Raw genomic sequence first — 13,806 nt, 5'->3', positions numbered from 1 at the left:
ATTTTGCTGCATGCCCAGATATGCCATAGCCCCAGCTCACATTTCTTTCCTTATTTAAGAATAGACTAGCTGTCTATTCCTCTGTAGAAGACCCCTTCCTCCTCTCCTCTGTCTCCCATCACACACCCACCTTATCTAAGACAGTTTAAATGTGTAACCAATCAAGTCTAGTTTAGATTGTGCTGTCCGACCCCAGCCAATGGGGAAAGGACACACAAAGTCAAGAGTCGCATTAAGAATAAAAGTTGCTACTCTCCTTTGTTCAGGGTGCTCTTGTAGCAGCCAACCCTACGAGAAGCACCCTTCTGCGCAGAAGTAAATTTGCTTTGCTGAGAAATCCTTTGTTTGAGTGCTCATTTTTCTTTATGACTCCAAGATTTATTTCTAACAACCATGTAAAACGATGCTATAAGGCTAAGCAAAATAAAGGCTGAAGAATATCCATCACATTTAATGGCATGGAAAACATTAGAAACAGCGATCTGGGTAGAGTGATGGGGAAAATTTCATTGATGGCAAGTTTGGGAGGAACTGAACAATAAGAAAAAAGTTTTTTTCAATTTTTAAAATGATGGTAAAATATACATAACATACAGTTCACCATCTTAACCATTTTAAGTGTACTATTCAGTGGCATTAAGTATATTCACAGCAGCCATCACTATCCTCCATATTCAGAATCTTCTCATCTCCCCAAGCTGAAACTCTGTCCCGTAACACTCATCCCTCATTCACCCTCCCCAGCCCCTAATGAACCACCATACCACTTTCTGTCTCTATAATTCTGACTGTGGTACCTACTTCATAGACGGAAGTATACACTGTTTGTCTTTTTGTGACTGACTTATTTCATTTAAGTGAAATATTGCCAAGGTTCATGTATGCTGTATATGTGTCCGAATGTTCTTTCTCTCTCTCTCTCCTCTCTCTTTTTTTTTCTTTCTTCTTTTTTGTCAGGGTCTTACTCTGTCACCTAGGCTGGAGTGCAGTGGCACAATCATAGCTCATTACAATCCCAAAGACCTGAGATCAAGCAATCCTCCCACATCAGTCTCCCAATTAGCTAATTTGTTTTTTATTTTTTGTTGTTTTTCTATTTATTATTATTATTATTTTTATATTATTATTTTGAGACAAAGCCTCACTCTTGTCGCCCAGGCTGGAATGCAACTTCCACCTCCGAGGTTCAAGCGATTCTCCTGCCTCAGCCTCCCGAGTAGCTGGGATTACACGTGTGCGCCACCATGTCCGGCTAATTTTTGTATTTTTAGTAGAGATGGGGTTTCACCATGTTGGCCGGGCTGGTCTCATATTCCTGGCCTTGAGTGATCCTCCCGCCTCAGCCTCCCAAAGTGTTGGGATTATAGGCATGAGGCACCATGCTCAGGAGAATGTTCTTTGTTAAAGCCACAAAATATTTCATTATATTATATGTATATACACACATTTTGTTTATCCATTCATCTGTCAATGACTGACAGATCTTTTAAAATTAAAATTAAATGTACAAAAATCTGTGTGGTTTGCAGGAATAAATTTCGAGTACTTCAAATATACAACAAAATGTGCTTGGCCGGGTACGGTGGCTCATGCCTGTAATCCCAGCACTTTGGGAGGCCAAGGTAGGTGGATCACCTGAGGTCAGGAGTTCGAGACCAGCCTGGCCAACATGGTGAAACCCTGTCTCTGCTAAAAATACAAAAAAAAAAAAAAAAAAAAATTAGCTGTGCGTGGTTGTGGGCGCCTGTAATCCCAGCTACTTGGGAAGCTAAGGCGAGAGAATTGCTTGAACCCAAGAGGTGGAGGTTGCAGTGAGCCGAGATTGCACCATTGCACTCCAGCCTGAGTAACAAAAGCGAACCCCGTCTAAAAAAAAAAGGGGTAAATATTTTTTCTGAAATATAATTTTTAATATAAAATTATTAACACATTATTTCATTTTTTTTCATTTGTTTGTTTTGGTGCAGTCTCACTCTGTCACCCAGGCTGGAGTGAGCGGCGCAATCTCAGCTCACTGTAACCTCTGCCTCTCGGGTTCAAGTGATTCTCCCACCTCAGCCTCCTGAGGCGTAGTAGCTGTGATTACAGGCATATGTGCCACCACACCCAGATAATTTTTGTATTTTTAGTAGAGATGGGGTTTCACCGTATTGGCCAGGCTAGTCTCAAACTCCTGGCCTCAAATGATCCACCCACCTTGGCCTCCCAAAGTGCTGGGATTACAGGCATGAGCCATGACGCCTGGCCATTTAGGGGTAATCTTTTTAACTGAACAGAAGCAATTGAAGTAATTTGCAACTCGACTGGACAAAAATCATTTGCAATTGATTAATTCCCTGTGGGTTGGCAATAACTTCACAGAGTCCAGGTCTCAAGCAAACAAACGAACATTGCCTTGAGAAGGAAAGAACTAGCTAGGCCTGTCAGACAATGCTTCAGCATGATACTGAACAGTAATGCGGTCATCCTTTTGCCTTATTTAAAAGGTTTAGGTAATTTGCTTCTTAATACAAAGGATGGATTAGAAGACAGGAGGGTGATGGAACAAGAGATGGAGTTGGAGCAAAAAACAGGAGTCAGATCATGGAGGACACTGGAGTTTAGGTTTCCTTCTGGAGGGAAGTAAGAGCACCGGGTGTTAAAAAAAAAATGTGTACAATGATGTTCCCCTGCAGAATGGGCAGGAAGGGTGCCAGGCTACCTACAGCCCAGATGACAGATCATGTGGACTTGAATCAAAGCAGCATTGGTGGACGTTCTAAAAAAATAAAGTCTATTAAAATGGCATCTAATTCTTGCTATATATATATATATATGTATATATATAATAATAAATATATATAAAAATAAAATATATATAATAAAAATATATAAAAATATATATATTTTTGAGATGGAGTCTCACTCTGTCATCCAGGCTGGTGTGCAGTGGCACAATCTCGGCTCACTGCAACATCTGCCTCCTGGGTTCAAGCGATTCTCCTGCCTCAGCCTCCTAAGTAGCTGGGATTATAGGCGCACGCCAGCATACTGGACTAATTTTTATATTTTTAGTAGAGACAAGTTTTCACCATGTTGGCCAGGCTGGTATTGAACTCCTGACCTCAGGTGATCCTCCCCCCTTGGCCTCCCAAAATGCTGGGATTACAGGTGTGAGCCACTGCACCCAGCCCTCATTCTCTTTTCTATCAGTTATTTATTTAGGAATTTTTAAAAAATTTTTTAATTAAAAAAAAATTTTCTAGTTTTCTAGTTTCCTAAGCACTTTTTTTTTTTACATAATTTGCCTTTTCTGACTTGACTTGTGATATGTCTGTATGATGAACTAAATTCTCATATGGATGTTGGTGAAAAGAATCAAAGTCTGTAAAATATTTGAAGAGATTTATTCTGAGCTAAATATGAGTGACCAATGGCCCATAACATAACCCCAGGAGACCCTGAGAACATGTGCCCCCAAAGTGGTCAGGCTACAGCTTGGTCTTACACATTTTAGGGAAACATCAGTCAATACGTATAAGATGTACATTGGTTCGGCCAGGCGCGGTGGCTCACGCCTGTAATCCCAGCACTTTGGGAGGCTGAGGCGGGTGGATCATGAGGTCAGGAAATCGAGACCATCCTGGCTAACACGGTGAAACCCCGTCTCTACCAGAAAAAAATACAAAAAATTAGCCGGGCATGGTGACGGGCACCTGTAGTCCCAGCTACTCAGGAGGCTGAGGCAGGAGAAGGGCATGAACCCAGAAGGCGGAGCTTGCAGGGAGCCAAGATGTGCCACTGCACTCCAGTCTGGGCAATAGAGCGAGACTCCGTCTCAAAAAAAAAAAAAAAAAGATGTACATTGGTTCAGTCCAGAAAGGTGGGACAACTGGAAGTGGGGCTTCCAGGTCATATGCAGATTCAAAGTTTTTCCAATAGGCAGTTGGTTGAGTTTTTCTATCAGACCTGGAATCAGGCCGGGCACGGTGGCTCATGCATGTAATCCCGGCACTTTGGGAGGCCGAGATGGGAGGATTGCTTGAGCTCAGGAGTTCGATACCAGCCAGGGTAGCATGGCGAAACCCCATCTCTACAAATAATACAAAAACTAGCCAGGCATGGTGGCATGTGTCTTGTAGTCCCAGCTACTCAGGAAGCTGAAGCAGGAGAATCACTTGAGCCTGAGAGGTTGAGGCTGCAGTGAGCCATGATCGTGCCACTGCACTCCAGCCTGGGCAACAGGGTGAGACTCTGTCTCAAGAAAAAAAAAAAAGTTTCCAGGGAAAGTATTATGATAAGACAGAGAGAAGGGAATTGATCAGGTTGTATACTTTAAATATGTGAATTTCGGCCGGGCACGGTGGCTCACGTCTGTAATCCCAGCACTTTGGGAGGCCGAGGCAGGCGGATCATGAGGTCAGGAGATCGAGACCATCCTGGCTAACATGGTGAAACCCCGTCTCTACTAAAAAAAATACAAAAAAAATTAGCCGGGTGTGGTGGTGGGCGCCTGTAGTCCCAGCTACTCGGGAGGCTGAGGCAGGAGAATGGCGTGAACCCAGGAGGTGGAGCTTGCAGTGAGCCGAGATCGCGCTACTGCACTCCAGCCTGGGTGACAGAGCGAGACTCTGTCTCAAAAAAAAAAAAAATAAAAAATAAATAAATAAATAAATATGTGAATTTCCCACATGTTCATCACTTCTCAATAAAGATGTTCCCCTTACTTAGACTCTTGCAATAATATACTGGCCTTGTGGCCAACTGCAGAAAAGAATGGCCACTGTGTCTTTTCTTCCCTATATCCAAGCCCCTTTTGTGTAACTGAGTGCCCTTCCACCTTGGGCTCACCCATGATTGCACTGGCTGATGGGGCATAGGCATTCCCAATACAAGCTCTGCTGGAACACTCCAGCAATGTGTGAACAGGCCTTACCTGGACGACTGGAGGAATGAGACCTTGAACGAAGAACAATAAACCCCACCCCACCTAGACAGTGACTGCAGAAGCCAGTCAAGAGAACTCTCAGGCTAAGCACAGCCCAAATTGTCAACAAACAAACCCTAAATAAAAGGTGGTGGGGTGTTGTTGTTTGAGAGACGGGGGTTCACCATGTTGCCCAGGCTGGTCTTGAACTCCTGGACTCAAGTAATCCTCCTGCCTGGCCCCCAAACTGCTGGGATTATGAGACACTGAGCCCGGCCTGGTGGTTGCTTTAAACCACCATGTTTTGGGTGGCTATGAAACAAAAGCTCATAGAAACAGGACCCTTCATTCCATTCCGCAACTGGGAACCAGTTACCTTGCTCAACTGCAAACTTCATTGAATATCAATTTGTTTCCATCGATTTCCAACTAACATTTACATTGAAACTAGTAGACTAACATATAGATATATGTGTGTGAGCCAGGCACAGTGGCTCATGACTGTAATCCCAGCACTTTGGTAGGCTGAGGCAGGAGGATTGCTTGAGCCCAGGAGTTTGAGACTAGCCTGGGCAACATAACAAGACTGTGTCTCTACAAAAATAAAAAAAATAGAATTAGTCAGGCATGGTAGTGTGTGCCTATAGTCCAGGTACTTAAGAGGCTGAGGTTGGCAGATGGCTTAAACCCAGGAGGTTGAGGCTGCAGAAAGCTATGGTCATGCCACTGCACTCCAATCTGGGTGACAGAATGAGACCGAGTCTTTAAAAAAAGAGAGAGAATAAAGGAAATGTGTGTGTTCTCCAATCTGTCCCATATTACCTTTCAAGTCTGCCTCTTACTCCAAAGATTGTCTTTTATCTACAGAATGTAATATACTGTCATTTTTTCAGTGCCTTTGCACTCAGGATTAGCATGCTTATTTGATTCTGCTCCTGAACTCTTAATGAGCCTTCTACAAGGCAGGCCTCGGTGGCTCATGCCTGTAATCCTAGCACTTTGGGAGGCCGAGGTGGGCAGATTGCCTGAGCTCAGGAGTTTGAGACTGGCCTGAGAACACGGTAAAACCTGTCTCTACTAAAATACAAAAAATTAGCCAGGCATGGCAGCGTGTGCCTGTAGTCCCTGCTACTCGGGAGGCTGAGGCAGGAGAACCGCTTGAACCCGGGAGGCGGAAGTTGCAGTGAGCTGAGATCGCGCCACTGCACTCCAGCCTGGGCAACAGAGCGAGACTCCATCTCCAAATAATCATAATCACAATCATAATCATCCTTCTACACTGAGCTTGCATCATCTCTTCTACTTAGATTTTCTTGATGGCCCCCAGTTCAACATCTTCCTCATCTGGGGCCTCCCAAATGGATTCACCTGCCATACTAGGTGTCTTATTTACTGTTAATATCGCTCTTCTCCTAGACCTTTACTTTCTTAAGGGCAGTACTTTGTCTTATTGATCTTTCTTCCCAAAACCTAATTAAAAGTGTAAGGCACTTAGCTAATATTCATTGGGTATATACAATAGGTTCCCTAGCAGGGAAGAATTCCTGAGTGGATTGGATGTTACCCAAAGGTTACACAAGACAGAGATTTTCCCTGCTGGAGAGGGTCCAAGAACTGAAAACAAGACTCAGACAAGCAGACTGTGTTCCTGTAATTAGAAGTTCCCTCCAGAGACTGTGTGACACTTTCTTTCTGAGAACTGGCAGGGAAGTGCAATGAGAGGCAACTGTCATGGGCCACTGAGGTTATCCATGGAATTCATTATCGGGATGGAGAAATTGGGCACAAAGGGACCAGTTATGCTGGTTCCCAAGGCTCATTTAAAAAATGGCCGATTTTACTCAATGCTGAGAGAAAGTACTCTCTTCCCCTTGGGCCCGGCCTCTAGGGTACACATTCTTTTTCTCAATCCTGGCAATAGCCAGTGAGTAATTGCTATTTCTTCACTAGTGAGCCTAGGAAAACTTTTGACCAAGGCTTGCTGAACGTTCAGCATTTTCACTTGGGGATGTAAACTGCCCCGACTACACACTCAAAGTCCTGCGTGGAAGCACTGCCAGGGGAAAGGAAGGGATTTCAGGAAGCCAAGTGGAACACCACAAGCCCCTTTGTCATGTGCTCTGAGCCCAGCAGATCCACTGGTTGATGCAGGCATGAAAGGGGTCAAGAGGTGAAACAAGAGCTGAATGTCAGAGTAAGCACTTGACACTAGTCCCAGTTTCCAGCTGGTAAGTTGACTCTTTGACATGTCTCTTTCTCTGCAGAAAGTAAATGACTGGCCTCCAGTGTTGTTGGGAAGACTGGTCAATCTATGAAAAAAGTGCTCCAATCCGCCATCTTCTTGGTTGAGGTAGAGAAAAATTATCACCAATGTTAGGTCAAAATAACTGTCAAGGGCCCAGCATGGTGGCTCACGCCTGTAATCCCAGCACTTTGGGAGGCCGAGGCAGGCGGATCACCTGAGGTTGGGAGTTCGAGACCAGCCTGACCAACATGGAGAGACCCCCCGTCTCTACTAAAAATACAAAATTAGCCGGGCATGGTGGCACATGCCTGTAATCCCAGCTACTCAGGAAGGCTGAGGCAGGAGAATCACTTGAACCTGGGAGGCAGAGGTTATGGTGAGCCAAGATCGCGCCAGTGCACTCCAGCCTGGGCAACAAGGGCGAAACTCCATCTTAAAAAAAAAAAAAAAAACTGTCAAGTCCCAAGGCTGGTGTAATCCCAGCACTTTGGGAGGCCGAGGTGGGCAGATCACTTGAGGCCAGGAGTTCAAGACCAACCTGGCCAACATGGCAAAATTCTGTCTAGTAAAAATACAAAAATTTGTCAGGCATGGTGGTGGGTACCTGTAACCTCAGCTACTCCTGAGGCTAAGGCAGAAGAATTGCTTGAGCCTGGGAGGCAGAGGTAACACTGAACCGAGATCGTACCATTGCACTCCAGCCTGGGTGACAGAGCAAGACTCTGTCTCAAAATAATAATAACAATAAATAATAATAATAATCAGCTTTTATTCTGAACTCAAGAAAGTAGCATTGGGCTACAGACAAATCAAGGAACTCATGTTGCTTAAATGTAAGCGTTTTCTTGGGCAAAAGATTAAGACCTTGGAGGCCAAACCAGATAGAAATGAATGGACTGGAAGAAAATGCAGATCAAACAGTCCTTGAAAACAGAAATAACCGTCGAGTTTTGACAAGTGTTCTTCAAATCTTGCAACCTGAAAACCAAATACAGTGAGAGAAGCAGGGTCTCATGGAGCAAGCTGGAATTGCTCTTGTCATGACAGAAAGAAATGCTTTGATGATTCCTCAGTAAGCATTCCCAGCCCTGTTCTGTTTTAGGAGAAACTGAAATGTACAGGAAAGCTGCCTCTTGAGGATTTCTGTGATGATTTTGTTTCCTAAAAAGGTAAAGTGGCCAAAAATGAGTGTACGCCCCTGTCTCTACTAAAATACAAAAAAATTAGCAGGGCGTGGTGGCAGGTGCCTGTAGTCCCAGCTATCTGGGAGGCTGAGACAGGCGAACCGCTTGAACCCGGGAGGCAGAGGTTGCAGTGAGCCGAGATCGCCGCCACTGCAGTCCAGCCTGGCGACAGAGCGAGACTCCATCTCAAAAAAAAAAGAGTATACGCTGTACACTGCACAGGTTGAACGGGTCAATCCCATCTGTCTGTTCCCCTCCTCAACTTTACTCTTCCTCACAGCATTTATTCTTCTCCGCATTTACTTTTCTTCCTAGTGTTTATTTATTCGCTTGTACTCTGGCTCCAAAGTTTAACGTCAAGATTACTATGAATGGGACCAGTTTTGTGTACTGCTGCCTTGCCAAAGCCTATAAATACCTGGACAAGAAAGTCATTAGTTAATTCCCAGTATTTATGAGAATGTAGTATGACATTGCTAGCATTTTAATGTAGCTGATAAAAGTCATTTCGTAAGTGATGGAGGTAAAATGAGTTATCCATTCTGACAAGATCTCTAAGTACAACATACCCTGCCACCAAACTGATGGCAACTCTTAGACCTTCTCAAGAGACACAAATACCCTCATACTCACACCTCCAAAGGGACCAGGGATCTCTGGTCTAAAAAAACCCAAATCCAAGCTGAGACACACACTTAACAGTCCCCCAAGGGCTTTTACAAAGAAGAAACTTAGCACAATACATAATATATATATATATATATATATATATAATTTTTTTTTGTTTTGTTTTTGTTTTTTTTTGAGACACAGTCTCGCTGTGTCACCAAGGCTGGAGTGCAGTGGCAAAATCTCGGCTCACTGCAACCTCCGCCTCCCTGGTTCACGTGATTCTCCTGCCTCAGCCTCCCAGGTAGCTGGGAATACAGATATGCACCACCATGCCCAGCTAATTTTTTTGTACTTTTAGTAGAGACGGGATTTCACCATGTTGTCCAGGCTGGTCTCCAACTCCTGACCTCATGTGATCCCCCAGCCTCAGCCTCCCAAACTGCTGGGATTACAAGCATGAGCCAATGTATCTGACTGATACGTAAATATTTTGCAAGTAACCTGCCTGACTGCAAACCCTTGGCCTCTCTACTCCAAACTCCAAACTCCAAACCCAGGTTTCCCAGGACACACATATTAGGAATGCATGGATGTGTTCACTCAGGTAAGGAACGATGCCCGCAATGGCCAATGTGTGCAGAATAACAATGTAAGGCCAGGCGCAGTGGCTCACGCCTGTAATCCCAGCATTTTGGGAGGCCAAAATGGGAGAGGATCACTTGCGGTCAGGAGTTCGAGATCAGTCTGGCCAACATGGTGAAGCCTTGTCTCTACTAAAAATGCAAAAAATTACCTGGGTGTGGTGGTGTGTGCCTGTAATCCCAGCTACTTTGGAGGGTGAGGCAAGAGAATCCCTTGAACCTGGGAAGTGGAGGTTGCAGTGAGCTGAGATCATGCCATTGCACTTGGCCTGGGCGACAGAGTCAGGCCCTGACTTAGAAAAAGAAAAAAAAAAAAAAAAAAAAAAAAAAAAGAGGGAAATGGAGAAATTGGAGAAAAGAGAGAGACAGAATTTTAAAAATCTAGAGAAAGAAATATAAAGAGAGAGAGAGAGATGGAAAGGGAAGAAAGTAAAACCACTTAGCTAAGGAAGCTCAAAAATGAAAATGTGGAAATGGGAGAGGGTAGAAGGCTGTTGGAGAGGGAGTCTGAGGCCCTCAGATGAACCAAGTATGTAAGGAAGAAAATTAAGGAATAAATCTGTCCCGAATGTCAAAGTCAGAGTCCACCACTCGTAGGCTCCCACCCTGGAAACACACTAGGTCCTTCCGTTGTGCTGAATGGCAGAAAGACGGCTGAGCAGACCATGTGAGAGCACAAACACTATCTCCAGCAACACAGGAGTCCAGGGTCTTCACAGCCATGAGGTCCCCGCCGGGCCTCCAGGCTTAATCTCAATCTTGCCATTTTCCTTCCTGGTAACTAAAAACAATGGCCAAAGCTCCATCATGGAGCTTGGATTCCTGTGCAATTGGGTTCTGCTTGCAACAGAAGGTGGTTTGAAAACAACCTTTTAATGGCATCAGACCCACTTGTCATCACTGCATGGCTGCTGATGGGTACCTGAGACACCTTCTTTGTAGGATTTCCTTGTTCCTTGGCAGGGTTTCTAATGAAATAACAGGAGGTGGAGGGGAGGGCATGTGTGGGGGGTGTCAGTTACTACATGTTTGTTTTTTTTTTTGACCGAGTCTCACTCTTTCGCTCAGGCTGGAGTGCAGTGGTGTGATCTCGGCTCACTGCAACCTCTGCCTCCCGGGTTCGAGCAATTGTCCTGCCTCAGCTTCCCAGTAGCCGGGACTACAGGCACGCGCCACCACGCCCGGCTAACTTTTGTATTTTTAGTAGAAATGAGGTTTCACTATGTTGGTCAGGCTGATCTCGAACTCTTGGCCTCGTGATCCTCCCTCCTTGGCCTCCCAAAGTGCTGGGATTACAGACATGAGCCACTGCACCCGTCCCAGTTACTGCATCTTGAAGAAATCAGGCTTGGGGATGGGAGCAGGAAAACACATCACCCTTTTCAGTTATTACACAAAGCTGTGCACAGCAAGGCTTATTACCACTACACCTACCTCTCCCTTCATTCCTCCCTGGGTGGCCAGGGCAGGCCAGGAGGCATTGTGTTATTGGCTTAGGGGACCACCACATTCAGAGCAAATTCAAGCTACAACAGGGAGAAGCACCTGTTTTCCTAAGGACCTCAGACATCTGGATTTTAAGGAGTCACTAAATGGATTCCACAGATGAAGAGGACAGAAGAGTTAGTGAACTTTAAGATATATCAGTAGAAGTCATACAAACTGGAAAACAAACACATTAGAAAAATGAAACAGGAACTTCAGAGTCCTGTGGCGCAGCTGGAGTCCCAAAAGGAGAAAATGAGGAAGAAAACAACTTCGGAAAATTCCTGAGAATTGAAAGCAGGAACTCACACAGACACTTGCATCCAATGTCCATATTGTAGGGGCAACAAGATTTCACCTTCATCATCTTAGGATCCTTGCTGGGCCTGATAATTACACCGACATACGATTAGGTTAACAAGATTAAAGCATACACATGTATTTGTTTAATGAAAGTTTTATGTGGCATGGGGTTCCTCATAAGGAAACAAGCCAGAAAAGCAGTTAAGAGCCAAACACTTATAAACTGAATTGGACAGACAAGTAAACTGCGCTAATGGGATAAAACCAAGGGTGTGGGCTAGGGTGGTTAATCAGGTAGAGAAGTGGCTCAGAAGCCGTAGTGTAATGAGGTTGGTTTGGATAGATCTCCTTTGCCTCAACTTTGCATCCTTCATGCTAAGAATGCTGTCTTCAGGCTGGGCGCAGTGGCTCACACCTGTAATCCCAACACTTTGGGAGGCTGAGGCGGGCATATCACCTGAGGTCAGGAGTTCAAGACCAGCCTGACCAACATGGTAAAACTCCGTTTCTACTAAAAATACAAAAATTAGCCGGGCATGGTGGCAGGCTACTCGGCGAGTACCCAGCTACTTTGGAGGCTGAGGCAGGATAATTGCTTGAATCCAGGAGGCAGAGGTTGCAGTGAGCCCAGATCGCGCCACTGCACTCCAGCCTGGGCAACAGAGCAAGACTGCATCTCAAGAAAAAAGAAAAAAAAATCATCAATATCAGTATGATTCACAATAGCCAAGAGGTAGAAACAGCCCAAATGTTCATCAATAGATGAATGAATAAAACGTGACACATACATGCAACAGAATTTATTAAGCCATAAAAGGGAATGAAATTCTGATACATGCTACAACATGGATAAGCCTTGAAAACATTACTTTTAATGAAATAAGGCAGACGCACACAAAACAACGTATTTTATTATTCTACTTCTGACAAAATTCATGGACACTACCTACAAGTTACCAGGGGCTGAAGATAGAAGTGTTGAGGAGTGATTGCTTAATGGGTACATAATTTTTTGGAATGAAGAGAAAGATCTGAAAATGGATAGTGGTGGTAGCCAATATTGTCAATGTACTTAATGCCACCGAACAGTACACCTAAAAAATGATTAAAATGGGGCTGTGCGCGGTGGCTCACACATGTAATCCTAGCACTTTGGGAGGCCGAGGCAGGTGGATCATGAGGTCAAGAGATCAAGACCATCCTGGCCAACATGGTGAAACTCCATTTCTACTAAAAATACAAATATTAGCTGGGCATGGTGGTGCGCACCTATAGTCCCAGCTACTCAGGAGGCTGAGGCAGGAGAATTGCTTGAACCCAGGATGTGGAGGTTGCAGTGAGCCAAGATTGCACCACTGGACTCCAGCTTGGGCAACAGAACGAGACTCTGCCTCAAAAAACAAAAACAAACAAACAAAAAAACCCAGTGAATTTCATGTTATGTTTATTTTACCACAATTAAAAAATTATGAAGAAATAATGGCCAAATACTTCCTTGTGAAAGACAGTGACTCACGTATCTAAGAATCTGAAGGATCCCCAAGCAGAGTAAATGCACAGGAAACTGCACCAAGACACAGAGTCAAACTGTTGAAAACCCAAGATAATTATCTGAAGAGGAGCCAGTGACAAGCAACACATTACTTACATTACTTACAGGGGAATAATGTTAAGAATAACGCTAACTTTTAGTCAGCAACAATGGAGGCCAGAAGACAAAGAAATGACCCCTTTAAAGCATATCCAGACCAGGCGCGGTGGCTCACACCTGTAATCCCAGCACCTTGGGAGGCTGAGGCAGGCAGATCACCTGAGGTCAGGAGTTCAAGACCAGCCTGGCTAACGTGATGGAACCTCAACTTTACTAAAAATACAAAAATTTGCCAGGCATGGTGGTGCAAACCTATAATCCCAGCTACTCAGGTGGCTAAGGCACAAGATCGTTTGAACCTGGGAGGTGGAGGTTGTAGTGAGCTGAGATCATGCCACTGCACTCCAGCCTGGGCGACACTCTGTCTCAAAAAATAAATTAAAATAAAATAAAATAACATATTCAGCCAAAGTATCTCCAAAAACTAAGGTGAGGAGACTTCCAGGTAACTAAAAACAATGGCCAGTGAGTGGTAAGCAACCTCCCCAAATCCCCTTTCAAATGCTGTGAAGTAACTCCACACCTATGAATCTTCTACACAAAACTATACCTTCAACACTGCCTTTAAGACATAGAGAATGCCAAAATTGCAACATAACTATGAGTAAAATGAGAAAAAGCATTAAATCTTAGCACCACGGTCCCACACATGCCCACCCCAAGGCTCTGTTAGGTAAACTGCAAGAAAGAGGGATAGCTGGTGGGGGGGCCTGAGACAGAGCTGGAGCAAGACCCTCAGAATCATCTACCCTTAATTTGAAAATGCAAAAAAACAAAAC

Source organism: Homo sapiens, chromosome 19, assembly GCF_000001405.40.
Source record: "Homo sapiens chromosome 19, GRCh38.p14 Primary Assembly".
NCBI classification, from domain to species: domain Eukaryota; kingdom Metazoa; phylum Chordata; class Mammalia; order Primates; family Hominidae; genus Homo; species Homo sapiens.
This window is presented reverse-complemented; position numbering follows the sequence as displayed.